The sequence below is a fragment of the Homo sapiens genome, chromosome 22, assembly GCF_000001405.40.
Source record: "Homo sapiens chromosome 22, GRCh38.p14 Primary Assembly".
Lineage (NCBI taxonomy): Eukaryota > Metazoa > Chordata > Mammalia > Primates > Hominidae > Homo > Homo sapiens.
In genome coordinates, this window is record NC_000022.11 from 22,919,972 (window position 1) to 22,940,242 (window position 20,271).

At 55.3% G+C, this 20,271-nt stretch overlaps 1 long non-coding RNA gene, 2 gene segments (V, D, J or C) and 1 further gene, besides 6 other annotated features; 3 read left to right on the top strand and 1 right to left on the bottom strand.

Annotated features, from left to right (window-relative positions):
* IGL (immunoglobulin lambda locus) overlaps positions 1-2,942 on the top strand; it is an 896,838-nt gene extending 893,896 nt beyond the window's left edge.
* On the bottom strand, positions 35-4,995 carry LOC105372947 (uncharacterized). 4 transcript variants are annotated; one of them, XR_938041.3, is made up of 4 exons: positions 4,676-4,995; positions 1,853-1,933; positions 681-766; positions 35-161 (listed from the first exon to the last, which is right to left on the bottom strand). It is a non-coding gene; the product is annotated as an uncharacterized LOC105372947 (long non-coding RNA). The 4 variants fall into 4 exon arrangements; XR_938043.3 differs by lacking the exon at positions 4,676-4,995 and adding an exon at positions 2,112-2,199; XR_001755445.2 differs by lacking the exons at positions 1,853-1,933; positions 4,676-4,995 and adding an exon at positions 1,116-1,421.
* On the top strand, positions 1,427-1,464 carry IGLJ7 (immunoglobulin lambda joining 7). The segment is given in 1 exon segment: positions 1,427-1,464. A coding segment is annotated over 1 exon segment (38 nt).
* Positions 2,623-2,942, top strand: IGLC7 (immunoglobulin lambda constant 7). The segment is given in 1 exon segment: positions 2,623-2,942. A coding segment is annotated over 1 exon segment (320 nt).
* Positions 8,534-8,583: an enhancer, noted in NCBI's record as "active region_18734". NCBI's record gives its function as "activates an Ori minimal core promoter by ATAC-STARR-seq in GM12878 lymphoblastoid cells {active_cell/tissue: GM12878}" and the evidence as "EXISTENCE:reporter gene assay evidence [ECO:0000049][PMID:35858748]".
* Positions 8,934-9,063: an enhancer, noted in NCBI's record as "active region_18735". NCBI's record gives its function as "activates an Ori minimal core promoter by ATAC-STARR-seq in GM12878 lymphoblastoid cells {active_cell/tissue: GM12878}" and the evidence as "EXISTENCE:reporter gene assay evidence [ECO:0000049][PMID:35858748]".
* Positions 9,314-9,373: an enhancer, noted in NCBI's record as "active region_18736". NCBI's record gives its function as "activates an Ori minimal core promoter by ATAC-STARR-seq in GM12878 lymphoblastoid cells {active_cell/tissue: GM12878}" and the evidence as "EXISTENCE:reporter gene assay evidence [ECO:0000049][PMID:35858748]".
* Positions 12,094-12,203: an enhancer, noted in NCBI's record as "active region_18737". NCBI's record gives its function as "activates an Ori minimal core promoter by ATAC-STARR-seq in GM12878 lymphoblastoid cells {active_cell/tissue: GM12878}" and the evidence as "EXISTENCE:reporter gene assay evidence [ECO:0000049][PMID:35858748]".
* Positions 14,227-14,316: a silencer, noted in NCBI's record as "silent region_13528". NCBI's record gives its function as "represses an Ori minimal core promoter by ATAC-STARR-seq in GM12878 lymphoblastoid cells {active_cell/tissue: GM12878}" and the evidence as "EXISTENCE:reporter gene assay evidence [ECO:0000049][PMID:35858748]".
* Positions 15,487-15,866: an enhancer, noted in NCBI's record as "active region_18738". NCBI's record gives its function as "activates an Ori minimal core promoter by ATAC-STARR-seq in GM12878 lymphoblastoid cells {active_cell/tissue: GM12878}" and the evidence as "EXISTENCE:reporter gene assay evidence [ECO:0000049][PMID:35858748]".

The following is a 20,271-nucleotide window of genomic DNA, read 5'->3' on the forward strand; positions in this document are numbered from 1 at the left end:
CAATAAATATCCTCAGTCAACCAGAAACCCTGGGTTTTGTGTTTTGCTTCTGTTTATACATTTTCTACCCTAAATTGGTCCAACCTGCAAGATGAACAAAATTCTTTTAGCCTTGTGGGAATGAAGTCTGGATTGTTTTTGAGGGGTAGTTCCACCATCACCTAGAAAGGCCCAGAGAATATTCCAGAACAGAGCCTTGGGCAGCAGGCCCCAGGACTGCCCCTTTCCCATACGTGCTGTGTTTGTGTGGACATGTCCACCTCCAGCGGCCTGGGGCGACCGCTCCTTGGTTCCCCATGGCCCAGAAGAACGAGTACCCTCCACGGATCATCAGGCCTCACCCCTGGACAGCCTCCCTCTCTCAAGGGGTCCCTCCTTCTGAGGCGGAAGGAGCCTCTCCAGTCCATGGGCCCTTGGTCTCCCCTACTCCTTAGGGGCCCACCCTGTTCCTGACTCCCAGGACCCTGCCCTCTACCCCCACATCTATCTCTGAAGCAGGCACAGACTGGACCCTGACCCTCTGGACCCAGGTCACTCACCCCACAGGCCAGCTGGGTACCCCTGGTCCCACATGTGTCACCAGTGTCCCAGTTATACTCAAGTCCCCTGGGGGATAAGGGTCAACTCTACTCTCTCTCACCCCTAAGTAACCAGCCCAAAACTGACCACACCTCAAGTACCTAATGTCCAGTTATCCACGGATGGTCAGTGGGGCTGGGGAGGTCAAAGTCAATCATGAGATTCCAGAGTGGTGCCATAGACGTGCCTGTAAACCAATTGGTCTTTTTAAGAGCTGTATGTGGGATCTAAGAACCGGGTTGATGATTGTCCCAGGAGGTAGCACAGGATGGGGGGCCTGGGCTATGAGACAAACACACATACATACATGTTCACAAACATAAACACACATGAACACCTCATAGGCACACAGGTATTCACAAACAAACATGCCTGCATGCAAATACATACACACACACTCTCCTGTGCTATTTAGAATCATTACCACATGGGCATCCCACTAGGGGCTGTGCTGGGCATCCAGGACCCTCCCAGGGAACTCGGATCTCCATAGGGGACCAGCTCCACCTTCCCTGTGGCATAAACAGGATTCTCACTTCTTCCATGGTGACAGTCTCCAAAGGAGCTGAGCCGGGACACATGGCTTCCTCCAGGACAGAGAGTAGCAGGGGACCCAGATGTGATGTGCAGACATGCCTCCTCCCTCTCCCCTCTCCCTCTGGGGGTGAAGGGATCCCTGACTTCCAGTAAAGTGTGCATCCATGCATGGAGGGGCCATCCCCCTCACCCTCCTATCGGCCAGACCTGCTTCATGACAGGGCCACTGGACCTGGGCGCCCAAGCTGCTGCAGCGGGGAACGGGTCGGGTGTGTCAGGAGGGGTTTGTGTGTGGGGCTGTGTCACTGTGTGCTGTGTTCGGAGGAGGCACCCAGCTGACCGTCCTCGGTAAGTCTCCCCGCTTCTCTCCTCTTTGAGATCCCAAGTTAAACACGGGGAGTTTTTCCCTTTCCTGTCTGTCGAAGGCTAAGGTCTAAGCCTGTCTGGAGGTCTGGAATCTTTGCCCCTCCTTGCCTGGGCTCCTGCCCTCTTCTGTGATTCTGTCCTCTGTGGGTCCCAGTTACGGGGCTGCATTAAACACAGTGACAGGAGGCCTTTGACTGAGGACTTGGAGAGATGGGGGAGGAAATGGCAGGAGGACAAAGATAGAGGAAGAATATTCCGTGAGAAGGTGGCCCCACAGCGCTGGGTCACACGCCATCCCCCAAGACAGGCAGGACACCACAGACAGGGTGGTGGGTCTCAGAAAACTCAGGCCCTAAACGTGGATGCTTACCAATTCCTCCACTGGAGGAAGACCTCAGAGCAGATGCCCAGGACAGGGACTTCTGGTAGGGACGGTGACTGGGACGGGTGCCTGTTTGTCAGGGAAAACCCACTGGAGAGTCAGATCCCCCAGATAACTTCTCACGACATGGAGACTCTTTCGAACAGACAAAGCTCCACGTTCAGCTCAGGGAGTAAAAAAAAAATGCCTCAAATGGAGGCCTTTGATCTACTGGAATCCAGCCCCCAGGACTGACACCCTGTCTCACCAGGCAGCCCAGAGGGGTCTCTGCAGGGAGGTGGGGTGGGGGCTGCAATGATGGCACCAGGGAGATGTGTGGGTAAGAAACCCACTCCCTGTGAGAGAGAAGAGCCTGAACCCAGGACCAACAGCTGCCCTGCATGAAGAGATGAGAACAAGGGGAACTGGTAGGAGGTGTTCAGACAGACACCCCCAAGATAGACAAATACCCAGGGTGAGATGTGGTCCTGGACTCCATCCCATCCAGTGTGGAGCCAGCACCGGTGGGGGTCTATAGGTGATGGAAAATATGAAAAAGAGACAGATCCAAGAGGGGGTCTGTGACCCCCAAGAGTGGGGGCAACTCCCATCTGACAGCAAGTGTCTCCACTCACCGCTGACCTGACCTCAGTCCAGCAAGGGTCCGGCCTGAGGTCCCTGCCCTGGGCCTTAGTCCCATACCCACTTCAAGACTGAGGTCAGGGGCTCCCCAGGTGGACACCAGGACTCTGACCCCCTGCCCCTCATCCACCCCGCAGGTCAGCCCAAGGCTGCCCCCTCGGTCACTCTGTTCCCACCCTCCTCTGAGGAGCTTCAAGCCAACAAGGCCACACTGGTGTGTCTCGTAAGTGACTTCAACCCGGGAGCCGTGACAGTGGCCTGGAAGGCAGATGGCAGCCCCGTCAAGGTGGGAGTGGAGACCACCAAACCCTCCAAACAAAGCAACAACAAGTATGCGGCCAGCAGCTACCTGAGCCTGACGCCCGAGCAGTGGAAGTCCCACAGAAGCTACAGCTGCCGGGTCACGCATGAAGGGAGCACCGTGGAGAAGACAGTGGCCCCTGCAGAATGCTCTTAGGCCCCCGACCCTCACCCCACCCACAGGGGCCTGGAGCTGCAGGTTCCCAGGGGAGGGGTCTCTGCCCCCATCCCAAGTCATCCAGCCCTTCTCAATAAATATCCTCATCGTCAACGAGAAATCCTGCTCCCTCTCTTCTTTTCTTATCTCACACATAATTTGAGGCCTCCCCTGGGTTCTCAGTGTTGGGTGGGGGAATCCTGGCACCCAGTGAGAAAGTGGCCCTGAGGGAGAGGCTCATAGCCTCCCGGGGTGTCTCCTGGTGAAAGAGGCCCGGATAGGAGAAGTCTGATCACTGAACACCAGTCCCTCTGCCCTTTCATTCCTCCCCCTTCTCCTCAAAGCATAGCCCCCCACCTCCCTGCCTCCTGCCTGGATGGAGTTGTCTCTGGCTGGGACTCCAGTTACACCCTCTATCTCTGCCCTAACAGAGACACCCTTCACCCACCATCTCTTTTCCCAGCCTGAAAACCCTGCTCCAAGCCTGGAGCCTCTTTGCCCCTGGCCCTTGCCCCCGGAATGCCCTCCTCCCTCTGTGCCCAGCTCAGCTCCCACCCACCCTCACCCCCTCCCTGTCATCCCTGAGAGCCAGACTGTCCAGGACACTCCAGCACCACTGACTTCTCAAGCTGTTCAATGAGGGACCCACCTCGATTCCTCACCTGACAGCAGGTTCAGACACTTAAGAGGAATGGGAGGAAGCCAGGAAGGAGACTCACACGAAAGGCCTACAGGAGGCTCGGGACACTTGGAAAAGATAGGCTCTGAGCTCCCTAGGAACCAGTGCAAGGAGGGTAATAAGCACTTCACCACTTCTGTAAATTTAAACAAACCCTTTGCTGAAGGGAAGGTGGTGTTCTCAATGCTGGGGCCAGTCATCTCGTCACAACTAAAAGTGGGAACATGTTCTATCCAAGGCCTCAGTAGTAATGGGATGTGAACCTTGACACACGCACAGGTAACTATCTGGCAGCCCTTAGACATGGTGATTCTCTCAAGTGCGTGAACAGAAAGTCACTGGCCGTCTTTGGGAACATCATTTTTGGGAACACTTCTCCATTGGATCCCGGGCCTTCACTGGAAAACCAGGTCCCTCATCAGGACTTTCTCTGTGAGGTTCCCTGAGTCTGGGGCTCCAACTGCTCTCTGAGAGGAAGGGGTGGGGGAAGAGAACACGACCCAGCCCCACCCAGCCCCTCCTGCATGGCCCCTCCTCTGTAGAGTGGGGGCACCTGCAGGGGTCAGGCCTGGGTTACTGTGGGTGGGGCCTGGGAGGGGCCCTTGTGGCATCCTGGGGAGTCTCTCCCACGGCTCCTGTTTGACTTTCCTGTGGCTGCTGGCTGTTATCACAAATGACCCCTAATTTAGTGCCTTAAAACATCACACACTGACTCTCTCCCAGGTCTGGAGGTCAGAAGTCCAAAATGAGTCCTTGGGGGCTAAAATCAGGGTCCCAGCAGGGCCGGCTCCTTCTGGGGACTCTGGGGAGAATTCGTTTCCAGGACTTTTCCAGCTTCTAGAGGACAACCTCAGCTCCTGGCCCCTTCCTCCAACTTCAGAGCCTGAGCTCAGCATCTTCAAATCTCTCTCTTGCTCTTCTCTCCCTCCCTACCTTCTTCTCTCCCTCTCTTCCTTCTCTCTCTCTCCGTCTCCCTCCATCCCCACATCTTGTCCTCTCACTCTGACCCTCCTGCCTCCCTCTTTCTTCTACAAAGACCCCAGCTTGGACCCACCTGGATAACCCAGGAGCATTTCCCACCTCAGGCTCCTAATTGACATGACATCTGCAAAGTCCCTGTGGCCACACATGACACATAGACAGGTCCAGGATTGGGACACGACTGTCCCCGCGGGGCCTAATTTAGCCGACCACAGCCCCTTTCCCGAGTTCCTCTCCCTTTCTCCATGCCCTGCCCAGTCCAGGCTGAGCCACTCCTGGGGGGCCGTCCCAGCCCAGCCCAAGCCCTCCCTATCCCTGGTCTCTTGTGGCCCCTTCTCCTCCTGGGGTTCCAGGAAGGCACTGGGAGTTTAGCCACAGCTCTAGGGCACTGTCTTCCAGCAGGCCCCCTGAGACTAAATGCCCTCCAGGCCAAATCACCCTTGGAGGAAGATCCTATTGTGATCCTCACTCTAGGATGGTGACATCACAGCCCAGAGAGCCTGAGTGACCTGCCACAGGTCACAGTAGGGACTCAAACCTGGTCCACCCAACTGCAGATCTCAGCTCTGGACCCCAGGTGCCTGGCTGCCCTCAGCCCACCTGGCCACGCCCACCCACTTCATCCAGCTTCCTCCCTGGAGAGCTCAAAGCCCACTGGACCCAGGCCCCCATCCCGGGACCCGGGATTCAAGTGACAGAATTATTGGACCAACAAGGGATGGAAGGGGACGGGGCCTCAGGTTGGAGTAGCCAGATTCCTCATGCCCCTTCTCCTTCCTCCGGGTCAAATATCAGGGTCAGGGCACTCGGAGGGAGGGACCATGAGAGTCCCCTTTTCCTAGAGACCCCATCTCAGTCCTGGTTCTGGATCCAGGGCTTACGGTGTCCCCCACCTCCAGGAGAGTCAGTCCCTGGCAGGTGGCTCCCCAAGCCCAATCCCCTCCATTCCTGGTCCCAGTTGCTCCCTCAACATCCAAAAATTCCTGACATCTTCAGTCAGGGACTGCTCTCCCAAGGGAAGAGCACATGGGGCTCTGGGTCTGGGGCTGTGGGAAAGAGGAACCCCGGTCCTCTCGGGGCCCAGCACCGAGCGCAGTAGGTGTTCGAGGGGGGCTGAGTGGTGACATGTGAGACTCTTTGTAGAACCCCAGATTCAGGTTCGTGTACCTGATATGCAGCGGAGGTCAAAAACTGACACAAGTGCTTGGAGATAGAAAAAGATTTATTTCATTTGGCTAAAGTAAGAAGACAAGAAAGCAAATTCCTCCACTCCATGTTAACAAAAGGATGAAGCAGGGAGTTTTTATGTGGCTAAGGAGTGAGGGAGGTGGCATTTCAGGGGAAAAGTCTGTGTTTATTCAGTCTCAGGTAACATCTTAAGCAACTAGACTTGCGGGCGACAGCGGCTGGTCTCTACGTCCCTAAAGGCATTCACTCCTGCAAAATACTTTTGTGACTCTGAAGTTATCTCCTCCTTCTTGACAAAGAAACAGGACATCTGCAGCTTATGATCACATTGTGTGAACAAGGGATGCTGGGCAAAAAGCAAGCAGTTAACTTGTACAAGCAGGCAAGGGCCAAATCAGAATTTTCTTTACTTCAGTCACAAAAATGCTGGGTACTGAAATCTCAACTCACCTGGTGTCACTCCCAGGGCACAGGCTAGGACAACACGCACCCGTCCCTGGAGAACTCTGGGCTGGTTCCCCCTTCTCCCCCTGCTGACCCCCTCTTAGTCTACCTCCGCTCCTCCCTTCCCCCACCAGAGAACCTCCCAGGGTTTCCATTTCCTCCCGGATAACATAACACGTGCTGCCCTGTGAGGAGGTGCTAAAGTCAAGAGCAAGGTGGCAGGGGGCTTTCGAGCAAGAGGCGACCTGACTTCAGAGACCCTCAGTCCCCAAGACAGACGCATGCCCTTTGAGAGAGCAGCCGCCCCAGGCACACGCAGGCTCTGGGCTGTCAGGATGGGAGCACGTGGTCCTCTTCCACCCACCTCCCGAATCTCCCCTGCTCCCCGCACCCATTTCCCTGTGGCCCCCATTTCCCTGTGGTCACTGTAATCGGACCCCACTCCAGTCCCCTTCCCCACTGACTCTGGGAGCTGGGGTTGATGCTGGGGCTGGAGCAGTGACCAGCCCATGGTGACCCCGGCCCCATCCAGGTACTAGGCCACTGGCCACCAATCAACTATGGTTTCCCAAGCACCCATATGTGCCCAGCCTGGGCTTGGGACCCAGACCTAGTCCTGCCTGGCCCACTGCAGCAGTAATGGTGGGCTCTTCCTGGAGAGAACCTGGACCACAGTCTCTCTGCCTCAACATCTCAGTATGAAGGGCCAGAGACCCTCCTGATGGTCACCTTAGGAGCACAAATGTGGTCCTGCCAGGAAGAAGTAATAAAATGTGAATGCTGCCTTCCTCTGGCTGCCCCTCCCTCTCTCCTGCCTTTTACAAGTGGTAATCAAGGGCTCCTGGCCTCCACGGTCCCCTCCCTTCCTGCCTCAAGCCCAGCAGTCTCACCACCACCCCATCACAGCCCCAGTGGCCTGCACGTGGCTCAATCCAATGGTCCCCTCACTGTCCTCCTTCTGTTGACCTCAGGATGGGCTTGGCAACTCACATCATTCTCGTCATCTTGAAGCCCCTCACCCACCCACCCCCACCCCCACCCCCCGCCAAGGTCCTCTCTTCTATGGTCCCCTCCCACTTTGTTCTGCTGCTGCCCCATCAGGGCCACCGGCAGCTAGCACCCTTGGTGACTCTTTCTTTCACTGTGTGATTCATGAACTACCGGAATGTAAAAGGGTTCCTTGCTCCTTCCCCGGCCCCAGCCCTCAGCCCAGTGGTGCCTCAGGCTTGATGGCTGCCCAGGGCTGCTGACCACGCTCTCCTGGTGCCGCCCTGCCCAGCACCGATCTGGGACACCACGGGAGCCTGGAAGCAGGGGCTGCACCCCTCACGTCCTCCGATGTTCAGCCAGGTGCTGGGCTGGGTATCACTGAGCCCCTCGATGGCCACTGCTCGACAGTGGAACTGCTCCCGGCTCTGCTGAAGATGCTACCTCACCTGCCACCTGGCCCAGGGCCACTTCCAGGGAAACCCTGCACTGGCGTCTGTCCTCTCTATGTCATGGGATCCCAAACCACCCCAGGAGGCACGTGTCCATGTCCCGCACACCTTACAGATGAGGAGACGGAGATTCGGAGACCAGCAGCCTGCCCGAGTCCCACAGCTGCCCAGGGCTGCACAGATGGTGGGCACTGGGACTCTGATCCAAGGTCAACCCAGAGCCAGCCCCTTCCCTAAGGCGTGCAGAGGAGGCTGAGCCTGCCCAGGTCCTGCAGGTGTTCAGGGCAGCACAGTGGTTGCCCAGGCCCCTGACCTAGGCCACCCTTCCATCCTGAGGCCGTGCCTGGGCAAGGCCAAGAGATGGTGCTGAGTGCATGAACCCCCTTGTGGCTCTGTGGGATGGGCAGACCTGGGCTCCTCATTCTCTGTTGACTCAGTGGGTGAAAGAGGCAGGCAGGAGGGCAGCCATGGGGGTGCCCTCTGAGTCTACAAAGCAGAGCCAGGACAGGTGTTCATGTGCCCATTTCACAGATGAGAGGACTGAGGCTCCGATGGGAGGGGTGATGACCCACCTAGGGTCACACAGTAGGTTACCGGCTGACCCATGCCCGCCTCTTTTCATGACTCCTCGGCCCTAAGGGCTTTTCATTCATTCATTCATCCATTCATTTGTTCAGACTCACTCATTCATTCATTCAACAAACTCTCAGCTGTGGGCCAGGGGCTGGTGTATGCAGCCCAGGACCACCTGCCCTAGAGGAGCTCACAAGCTTGGAGAACGACATGGAGACACCACTGCCCCCACCCTGTCAAGTCTCCAAGGTTGGCACTCTGCCCAGGGAGTGTCTGGGGCAGCAGGAGCATCTCCCCACACTCAGGAAAAGATTTAACTGAAAGAACCATCTGAGAGAGCCCCAGCTGTGATCCTTGGGCCACAGTGGGAACATCACAGTCCCTCACTGACCCTCACAGTGACCCTGAGGCCTAAAGCTGCCATTGCCCACCTCACAGAGGGGACGTGAACCATGATGGATGCACCAGCGCTGCCCAGGCTCCACCCAGTTCAGGAGTAGCCGAGTTGGGCCTTAGCCCACGCCTGTCTTCACATGCCACTGTGTCTAGCTCAGACCGGGGCCAGCCCCTCACGAGTGATGGCCTCATGACACCGAAGGAGGGTTGGTCTGTGCTGGGGGAACCCCTCAAGGTATAGGGAAGAGTGTCACAGTGGGGGATGGGGTGAGAGGAACTCGTCCTGGCCCTGGCCCTGCTTAGCTGCAGCCTGGGCTGAGGGAGGTGTTCTGAGTCAGATCAGGGAGGGGCCCTGTGGCTTCCTCTACAGCAAAGCCAGAGCCCAGAATAGCCTGGGAGGGGGTGCAGGGGCCCTGCTGGAGGAGAGGGGGGTGGCTGCTCAGGGCCCTGCGGGAGGAAAGGACTGGGAGCTACTATGAACTGAGTGGGTGACTCTCCCATCAGGCCCAGCCTCCTGTGGGGCCTGCAAAGCCACCAAGAGAGTGTCCCCAGCCAGGCCTGGACAAAGGCACCATTACCCTTCAACCCCCATATTCACTGAATCCAGGGGCAAGAAGGGGGACATCGACACTCACCTGGGAACAAGCAAACCAGCTCAGATGCCCCATAACGAGGCCACCAGATCCCAGGCAAGCCCCCATTCCTCAACACAAAGGTCCAAAATCAAGTTTCCAGCCAACTAGAACATGCGAATTTTGGGGACATAGAGGAAATAATCACCATCCACTCGCAATGCCCACTGCTAATGACACAGCACAATGCTGAGGATGTTGCTCCTCCCTCCCGACATGTCATCCTCTTCTCCAGAGTCTCTGTCACACCAGGGCCAGGTTCTGGATTCCCCACCCACCCCGCCTGCAGGACACGAGTCCTTGATGTTGACCCCACACCCTGGGCTCCATCCCTGACCTAAGGACCAGCTTCTACGGCCCTGAAAGAGTCGTGTGTCATGACTTGACACTGGTCCTCTTCCCTGTGCTGAATGAGACGTGAAGGAAAAATGACCCCAAATCTGCCCAGGATCCCCTGCGCCACACGTGAGATGCTCCAGTTCCCTCGGGGATTCAGAAGCATCCCTAGCTGGCATCAACGGAGGCCGGGAAGACTAGGTCTTTTCCCAAAATGCTTAGTTATGCAAACACCTCAAAAGGCACCCGTACCTCTTGTAACAACCCAAGCGTGAGGACTCCCTCTTTCTGGGGTGATCTGGGGAAACTGCTCTCCTACATGGTCATCTTGAGGATTGCAGATGGGCCACGGAAATGTCAACACAGTGACATCAGCAGGGGCAGTAGGGTCAGGATCAGGGTCAGTCTTTGTCACTTGGTCACTTGGGACCACATCAAACCTGACCCTGTTTGGCCAGTAATTTCACAAGGGTGGTCTCCCCAGGAAACACGTGGGCTGGGCAAGGTCTGAGGGGAGGGGGATGACCTGCATCCTGCATTTTCCAGGACATTCCCAGTTTGTGCCACTGACTCTGGAAGCTGAGGTGGATGCTAGAGCAGTGTCCAGCCCCTGGTGACCCTTAGCCCCATCCAGGTCCCCAGACCACTGGCCACCAATCAGCTGCAGTTTCCCAGGTGCCTATGTGTACCCAGCCTCAGCTCGGGACCCAGGCCTGGCCGTGCCTGGCCCATTGTAGCAGTAATGGTGGGCTCTGCCCAGAGACCCAGGCCTGGGCTGCCTCCAGGACCCCCACCCACATCTATCAGAGAGACTCGTGAAGTTATTAATAGTGCCCCTTCCACTCCCAGGAACATCCCAGTTTAAACAACAAATTTTGGTTGCCCAAGCTCAGAGTAACTGTTTGCTAAATGACTGAATGACGTTCTTCATAATGGCTAATAATGAGGGGGAGGAAGCCAAGCCCAGCCACCTAGCACTATGGTAAGCAGTGCTGGACATTACAATGGGGGCCAGGGGCCAGGAGAGCCTCACTAGGGGCCACATCCAGGCAGTCACCATGACATTCCTGGTCCCCTGCCTGGAGCCCCTAGAAATGAGCTCACTCAGGCCCAGCTCACAACACAACCAGGGGTGGCCCTAATACCATCTCCCACTCAGCAACAGCACACCACGTCCAGAGACCGGCAAGGGACAGCTCCTCTGGGCAGCCCTAGTTCCTGGGGAGACCACAGGCAGCAGGGAGAATGCCTCCTGGCTTTGGGACAGGAGCCAGGGAGGGGCTGGGTGACTTCTGTGGCTGGCAACACAGAGCCCCCGTGTCAGCTCCAGGAAAGAGTAGCCCACAGCCAGGACGACCCACCAGGGCACCCGCAGTGTGCCTCTTTCCATACAGGCCATCCTTCATGGTGACTCTCTCTTCCTATAGCAACACCAACACCCTTGATCTGGCCACGGGTCCCTCCTGCTTCTCACATCAGGTCTGATGTTCACTGAGCATCCAATGTGCCAGTTGCCGTGCCAGGCACCAAAGCCTGGACCCCTCACAGGTGTCACTAGGATGGGCCCTCCCTGCCCACCCAGTTCCCAGCCTGTGCAGGGACATGTTGGGACTTTCTGACTATGGAAATGATAGAGGAGAAAGGGGCCTCATCTTCACAGTTTCAGGCCAAAGGGGAGCCTCCCACTCAGACCCCTAGACACATCCTCTCCTGACCTGTCTGGGGAGGAGGATGGGAAGTGGTGGTCAGACTTGGCCTGGGCTCCCACAGGGGACAGAAAGTTTGCAAAGGTCTGGGCAGCAGAGAGCAGCTCCCAGAAGGAAGGGGTGCTGGTCCCCAGGGGCTGCTGGGCAGAGTAGCTGAAGAAGGTGAGACCCCAGACCGGCCAGGTAAGTAAGCCCCCTTCTCAGGGGCTGCCCAGAGCGAAGTCACATGTTCAGCTCTCTTCTGAGGACCTGCTGCTCCTGGAAACCCAGCAGGGTTAAGGCAGGCACAGCCAGGTTCAGACAGCTCATGTTTGCGGGAGAGGGAAATCAAGTCAACAGACAAGGAACAATGTCATGTAGGAGGCGGGATTTGTGCTGGGGAGAAATAGGGCAGAGGATGGGGGGTAGGGAGCACCTGGCTGGGGTCTCACGGGGGGCGACGTCCCAGGGGCTGGAGGCAGCCAGCGACTGAGGAGCCCTGACTAGCGCCAGGCCCCTGTGGCTGGAGTTAGTGGCTCGAGCTCAGCCTCAGTTTCCCCTCTGTGCAGCTGGGTTGATAATAATGGAAACTGACTCTCTGGGTGGGGGGAGGGACAATCAGATGGAAAATAGATGTTTTGTTTGTCTCTGCCGTTGGTTGTTTTCATCCTTGGGCTGTTCCAGCCCCAGACAGCCTCAGGCCAGCCCCCTGCCCATGCTGGGCTCCCCACCGGCCCTGGAACCCTCACCCCAGTGCAGCTGGCCTGGTGAAACCAAGAGTGCCTGAGGCCCGAAATAGCTGGGAAACCCCACCAAGCCTCAGCCCTGGCAGCAGGTGCCTCCTTCTCCCCAGGGTGGGAGGCAGGGGGGCGATTCAGTTTCCAAAGCTTCCACCAGCCCAGCTGGAGAATGGTCCTGTGTCCCCGCACCAAGACACCCAAGCCCCGTGCCCAGGCTTGAGTTAGACAGGGTCTGGAGATCATGGTCAATCAATGATCAGAAGTAGCACCTTCTGCTCCAGAAGCTTCTATTCATGCAGGCCCTACCCCCTCCTCACAGCTCCCCAGGAACCGTTCTAAATGCCAGGTTCAGAGCTGTGCCCAATTGGGGGGCACAGCCAGACACTTGGAGCTCAGAGGGGCCTGGGGTGGGCAGGGCTGGCCAGAGCTGGACATGGGACCCTGCTGATCACACTCCACCTGCTGCCCCCAGGTCTTGGACCCTTCAAGGGAGCTGGGCCAAGTAAGGGGATGGGAAGGGAAACAAGAACCCTTCCAAGAGCTTCCCTGGGAGCCCAGAGCCTGAGGCAGTAACGAAGCTCCTGGAAGCACAGCTGCCAAGAGGACTTCCGGGGTCCCTACCCAGTGGGCAGGACCTCAGACTGGTCAGTCACTTATTTGTGTGTCTGTCCATCCATATATCTGAACATGCACACACACACACACGCGCGCACACACACACACACACACACACTCATCCTTCCACAAGCCCCGAGGCCTGGCCTGTGCAGGGCTCTTGACACATGGTGTCCCAGGCAAGGCAGGACTGCCCCAGCCCACCCCCAGGTGAGACCTGGAGTGTGCCTTCTCATGGGAGGAGGGGGCTGTGGCCTTGGGGTGCCCCATTCCCTGTCCAGTCTTCCCCATGCTGGGTCTAGATGCTGAGGTCAAAGAGAGGTTGACAGGTGTGAGGAACAGGCCACTGTGGTGAGGCTTAATGCCCCCTGTCCGATGACCAGATCCTACCCACTGCCCCCGTTACAGACCTCCCTGTCTTTCTCCATGTGGAGGAAACGTTCCCAGGATATTCCAGGGCTCCAGGTTCTGATGAGAGTATGGGAGGAGACCAAGTACCCAGCCTCAGGGCCTGGGTTCACCCCTGCAGACGGCAAATCCCATCCACCTGTGGGACTTCACCAGCTCATTCTTAGAGGACACCAGCCTGGAGCTCCCTTGGCCCAGGAAAGCCAGGAGCCAGGCCCGCCACACGTAGCCATTGCACATGTCACCTGACACATAAGATGCGAACTGTAGGGTGGGCAGGCCAGGGATGAGTGCCCCCACCTCTGCCTTCCTCCCCACAGGCCCACCCACGAGGCTGAACAGGGTGGCCCTAGACCCAGCACCATCTTCAATCAGCTCATCCACTGGCATCCCCCACCACCGTCCCCTCAACATGCACAGGATGCCAGCCACCCAGGCCAGTTCCTGAAGTAAAGCAAGCAAGGGGGGGTACTTGTCCCCGCCCAGCCCAGAGCTCAGATTGCAGATGAGACCCCCTTGCTTGAAGAAGACAAGGGGCAGGAGATACTGGGGATTCCATGTGGTCATCAAAGGTAGCCTGGTGGCAGCAGCAACCTCAAACAGGCCTAGGAGCTGGATCAAGGACTGAAGGGCAGAGAGAGGACGGGTGTGTTAGGGGTGAGTGTGAGCAAAGGTATAGGAGTGACCACAGCATCCCTTCTTCCCACAGGGCCACAGTAGTGCACAAGGGCCCTCATGGAAGCACCCTGAAAGCTCACCTCAAAGGCCCCATACTCTGTCCCCCACGTCACCTGGCCTGCCACCCTACTTAATACCCAGGAAGTCCTTGGAGTCTGTGCCACATGGATGGGCTCCAAGATGGACCAGGCTTCCAGGGGGGCAGGGAACAAGGGAGAAAAGAGGTCTGGGCCCTGCATAGGACACAGGTAGTGACCACCCGGTGGAGGAGAGGGAATGAGCAGAGGATGCTGGGAGCCAGGCCCAAGGCAGGGCCCTGCAGGGTGCACAGTTCTCTGGGTTGGACGGTGGACCAAGGCCATGAACATTCATGCTGGTCCAGGCCAGTGGACCAGAGTGCCCCAAGCCCCAGAGCTCTGCAGAGGGGCAGGGGCAGGGCCCAGAGAGAGCAAGGCCGAGAGTAGAGGCCCTAAACCTCAGGTCTGACCACATCTGCAACTCTACAGGTAGCTGCATCCTGTGTTGAGACGCTATTGAGTGGCCTTATCGTCCCGTACCATTTATAAAACACGTGGACACATGTTATCCACCTGAGCCACTCAGGGATTCTGTGAGGCCACAGCCAGAATCATGGTCCCATTTCACAGGTAGGAAAACTGAGGCCCAGAGCAGTTAGATCCCAAAAAGCCAGAGCCAGCTCTGTGGTGTCCTGACTTCCAGCCCAGGGCCTCCCATCTGACAAATGGAGAAACAGACCAGGAGAGAAAGGGATCTGCCCGAGCTCACATAGGCGCCCCTGTGTGGAGGGGCCCATGTAGAGGGGCCCATGTGGAGGGGACCTGTATGGAGGGTGGCATGTGGAGGGGCCCACGTGTGGAGGGGCCCATGTGTGGAGGGGCCCGTGTGGAGGGATCATGTGTGGAGGGGCCCGTGTGGAGGGATCATGTGTGGAGGGGCCCATGTGGAGGGGCCTGTGTGGAGAAATCATGTGTGGAGGGGCCCATGTGGAGGGGCCTGCGTGGAGGGGCCCGCGTGGAGGGATCATGTGTGAAGGGGCCCGCATGGAGGGGCCTGTCGGTAGGGTGCCAGGTAGAGGGGCCCATGTGGAGGGGATCTGTTGGAGGGTGCCTGTGTGGAGGGGGCCTGTGTGGAGGGGACCTGTGTGGAGGGGCCCGTGTGGAGGGCGCTGTGTGGTGGGACCCGTGTGGAGGAGCCTGCATGGAGAAGACCTGTATGGAGGGTGGCTGTGTGGACCACTGCCCTCTGCCAGAGACCAGATTGTTCACTTCCTCCACCATTCCACAGCTCCAGCCCCATTTCAGGGGTGCAGAAAAGAGGCCTGAAAGCAGCATGGATGAGAGTTAGGGCTACAGGCCCTGATGGCCATTCCTTCCCTGTGCCTTGGGAGATGCAAGGAAGGAGGGTGGCTGCAAAGGCCTGTGGGAGCCCAGAGCACTGTTCTTCCCAAAGGGGCATCTGCCCTGGGAGCCCAGACCTCAGTGTCAGACAGAGAAGGGGTCCCCCCACCATGCTCAGCCCTCATCAACCCTTGACCTTGAGCAATCTGCTTCTCTTCTGTAGCCCTCAGTTTCCTCATCTGCCCAAGGGGGTGATAAGAGTCCCTCCCCACAAGGTAGGTTTGCGGATTGAGATGATGCCTAAGCTGTGCCTGGCCTATGGGGACCCTCACCTACCCTCAGTCATTGCTCTTGCCTGGGCCTGCGGGTGACACTGTGTGAACCTGGGCAAATGCCTTTGCCTTCCTGGGCCCAGCCTTCCCTCTGGTCAAGGAGGAACTGGGTCAGGGACCCCGAGTGCCAGCCATTCAGGAAACCAGCAGATTCCTGGGTGAAGGGGTTGGCCAGGGAGGCCTGAGATGGGAGTAGGGTGGGGGCCAGGCCAAGGGATGGGGTTGGGGGATGCGCTTTCCCAGCTCTGGTGGCCCTGCCTGCAGCTGGCCACCCCTGGAAATCCCCAGGCTAAATTTAACCCCAAGTTGGCTGAAACCAGAACTCAGAGTGACAAAAGGAGAAAAATAAGAGGAAGAGAAACTGAGCTCATGGCCACCCGGGCATGGGATGAGTGACAAACAGGCCCAGGTGTGGCCCAGGAGGAGCATGGGGCAGTTTCAGGGCTGCTGCTGGATGTTTGTGCAGCTCACAGGTGGGGGCAGTAGAGCCTGCGCCCCACCCCACCCCCTCCTAGTCCAGCCCCTGGGCCTGATGCTGCCCCCTGGCTGCCTCCCCACACCCTGAGCTCCATCCTGGGTCCCAGGGTCCACCAGAAGGCATCTCAGAACCAGCCAGCAGTGGCCCTGATTGTCAGCAGGACCCCAGGGAGGGGGGTGGCCAGGACAGGGCTCTGAAGCCCCCACCCCAGGACCTTCCCTGGGCAGAACGAGTTGGTGAGGGAGTGATGAGCAACCACAGGCCTCCTAACTTCCCAAGCTGGCGATTCTGAGAGGCCTCAAGGCTGAGACACGGTTCAGCCTTTTAGGCCCTCCTGAACGTGTCCCCTGTCTCCACAGCCTGGGAATGCACTCTCTTTTGACCCAGAAATCCTGCTCATAAGAATTTATCATGGAGATGCCAGAGAGCCAGTGCATGTGGATGTTAGCCAGGGAGCTAACAGCAAAACGTGACAGAAAAGAGCCCGAGAGCAGATGCCAGCCTCACATCCACATCCCCAGATGGCCTTGGAGAAGGGCCATAGACAGATGTTCACAACAGGGCAAGAAGAAGTGAGGAAAGAAGTTCCCATCTTTGTGATAAGCCCATGATTTCATGCAGAAAAAGATCTGGAAGGCGCCATACCAACGCGCTAACAGGGCCTCTTGGGCAGTGCAGGATCAGAGACTTGCTTTGTATTCTTATTTAATTTTTCCTGTTTTCAGATTTTATAATCGGAGAACAAAACATTAAGCCAATTTAAGATGTAAGATCCTATAAAAATGCTGTATTCGATGATGCGAATGGCATCTGAAAAGCCTTGAACATATTATCCCAAAGAGGCCACCAGATAAGACGTGACCTGTGTGTGCATGAATCCCTGCATTTTTATCCATACCTAGATGCACATCCGTATCCACATCTATTCCCCGGGGCTACCGGTTGCGGGGGTAAACTGTAGGTAATATTGGTTTTCATTTTGTACATCTAACTTTTTTCATTTTTTGACAATCATTATACATTTATTATTATGAAAAATAGAAGGTTTTGTCACTTAAATCAACATGTTTATTCCAATTCACTTAACATTCAGCAAATATTTCTTGTGTGTCTGCTACACCCACAACAGTCAGGGTGCAGGGTTTGAGATTACACTGATGAGAAGACAGAGTGTTCTCTCTTGAGGAGTAGTACAATGGGGGATTATATGGAAGAGGTCACTACGATCCTAACATGGATTCGCATCCTGTATGTCTTAGGTGCTGCCCAAAGCCCGAAATTGTCTCACAGCTCCAGCCAGCTCAGAGGCAGGAAGCCCAGGGAAAGTTGCTGAGTCATAAAAATGGAAAGAGAGGGCATTCCAGGGGGGATGAGTACCTAGCAGCCGACATTTAGCAAAGAGGATTGGAAAATGAACCCCCCCTTAAAATACAGTTAAACACAGAGGAGGGAGCAACTGCAAACAAAAAGTTTAAGCGATTTCTGCAAAGAGCAATAAAAGCCATAGAGCAGCTTGGGACAAGGTCAGGTCAGGATGAGCAGAAGTTGGGAAGGAAAGAAGGAAGCCAGGATGGACTTGGAGAGTTTTTACCAGTTCCTCAGGCAGGAAGAATTGTATGGTAGGTCAGAGCATATTTCTAGGAAGACCTCGGTTGACAAATTTCTCTGCCACTGAGAGATGACAATTTACCTTGGTAGCTAATCTCTCTCCTCATGTTCCCATCTATTTGATATTGATTTAATATGAGTAGCTACCTCCCATGTGTATAATAGGAAATGTATGGGAGAATGCATATTAATTCCTGAATAGAATATCTGGTTCCATGAATGATGGAAGTTGGTTTAGAATTTATTATTGGAAACTCACCCTGCACTACCTATAGTTGGTTTATTTTAATTATACTTATATTCATTATATAGTAACTCATATATATTTGTCATTTCTTTTCTTATATTCAAAAAGTCTCTACATAAATAAACTCTGCACCTATGGTCATTGCTGGGTATCTGTTCTATACACAGCAAGGAGCCAGACGCCCTATCTTACTTGTTCACTTTCCAGCTTCTCCTTAGAAAAAAAAATACAAGTTTTTAACCCAATTCTATGAGTCTAGTACTGTGACCCAAAACCCAAAGGGCAGGAACTCAACAGCCACCTCTCCATCCTGCCTGCCTCCCAACCCACATTCCCCTTCCAGAACCCTCACTGATGAGGGAAAAGATGATGTCTCCAAGAGGAGCAGCCCGTTCACACATCTTCAAGCTTCATCTCCCCAGCAGCCATCCAAGTGCCTGACCTTCAAGGCTCTCAATAAACAGTCTGAATGAGGAAAGAAAGGGAGGGAGGGAAAGAAGGAGGGAGGGAGAAAGGGGTAGGTGGATGGATGTATAGATGGGTGAGTGATTGATGGGTGGATGAGTGGGTGGATTGGTAGGTGAATGGATGAGTGGATAGTTGGGTGGGTGAGTGGATGGCTGGATAGATGAATGCGTGGACTGGTGGGTACATGTGTGGGTGGGTAGTTGGATGGGTGAATAGTTGGATAAGTAGGTAAATTCTAACCATGAGAAGCACAGATTGGTATCTGGCAACTCTGTGTAGAGATTAGATTCCAATTCCTGCTCTGATCCTGACTCGGGTGTGATCTTGGGCCCTTTCCTTAATGTCTTGAAGCCTTTTCCCTTCATCTGCCCTGCCCATCTCACAAACTGCTGGGAAGAACCCTGGAAGGACATATGTGCACGAAGATGCTTTAGAAACCCTAGCAAGCTTCTCAGGTGTGACCTTAGCATTGGAGGGAACTTGAAGGTCATTGGGCTGACTCTCCCGATGGTTGGATCACAGTTCATGGTAAGAGCCTAAGCTTAGAGTCCAGACAGACCTGGGTTTGTGTCCTGGCTCCACCACTTGTCCGAGTGTGACTGTCCTGCCTGTGTACTCCTCTGTGATGTGGAGGTGATGATGGTGGCAGCTTCCCCTCAGGGCTATGTGAGGATTCAGTGGGATCATCGTGGAAAGCCCTGGGCACATCACCCAGCAGGGGTGCCACGACGAAACCCAAGGTCTGCCCTCCGGGGTCCCAAAAAAGAGGCCCAGTCTTGCCTTTCCAGAGCAGGGTACCCTAGAGGCCATGGGATTGAAGGAGAGCTCTAGGATGTCCAGCTCACGGGTTCACAAAACCCTGAAAAGTGTCTGTATAAATGCTCATTGCAGGGAAAGATCTGTGGCTTTATACAGAAAGAGGCCATGACACATAAAGGGTTAACCACAGTCCATCTAATCCGGGACTCTCACTTAGGAAACTGAGACCTATGTCCTGTCCAAGGGCACTCTGTGGGTCAGGGGACAGCAAAGCACAGACATTCAACCCAGCATGGAGGCCCCTCCCCACCCAGGAGCAGGAGCCTGCCTTGGAATGCCAGACCTGAGATAGGATTACTGCCACCTGGGAACAGCATACACTGGTGAGAGGCAGGGGCAGGGAGAACACCACCACAGGGGCAGGGAGAACACCACCAGGATGGGGAAAGGGAACCACAGGGCCTACTCTTTTAATTAAGCAGTAGAATTGTAAGAAAATTGCAACTTTCTTTTAAAACCTGTCTTTCAAGGTTGTTAAAATGGGGTTTTAATAACAAAACTGTGGGAGAAAGAGGTGGCTGATGTCAAAAACATCTCAACCCACTCCCCTGGGGGACCTGCAGTTCTCTAGTTCGTGAGTTTCTGCTAACAAAAAGCACACTAAAAGAGGGGCCAAAACAAATGGAAATCAAGCTTATCAAACACAGATGACATGGAGTTGACCAAAGCATCTAGAGCTGAGATTCCAGGAAGCAGATCTCTCTCCTTTCTCTGGGACCATCCTAGGAGAGGTTCCAGGGCCCCCTGGCACAGAGGTGCCACCAGCGACCTCAAACTTCAGGCGCAGGTGGGGGCAACAGGCGTAGTTGAGGCTACAGGGACACAGGTGTCAGCACAGCATACGAGAGGGCCACCTTGTTTGTTTTCTGACTTCCTCTTAAAATACAGTTTATCGCCCTTGATCTTTAGTTTCAAATAGTAACTATTCACAGTAAACAATGTGACACAGTAAACAACGTGTACAGAAAAACAAACAGGAGAAAACAATTTGCCCCTTGTACTTCACCCAGAAGAGCCACTGCTAATATTTTGATGTATTTCCTTCTATTTTAGTTGCAAACTGTAACAACCATTAAATAAATAAATACGATGAATTTGTAAAGTTTACAGAGTAATAATAGGAGTGATGATTGCACAACATCGTGAATGTACTAAATGCCACTCAATTGTACACTTTAAAATGGTGAATTCCACATGATGTGAGTTTCACATCTATTAGCCTCCT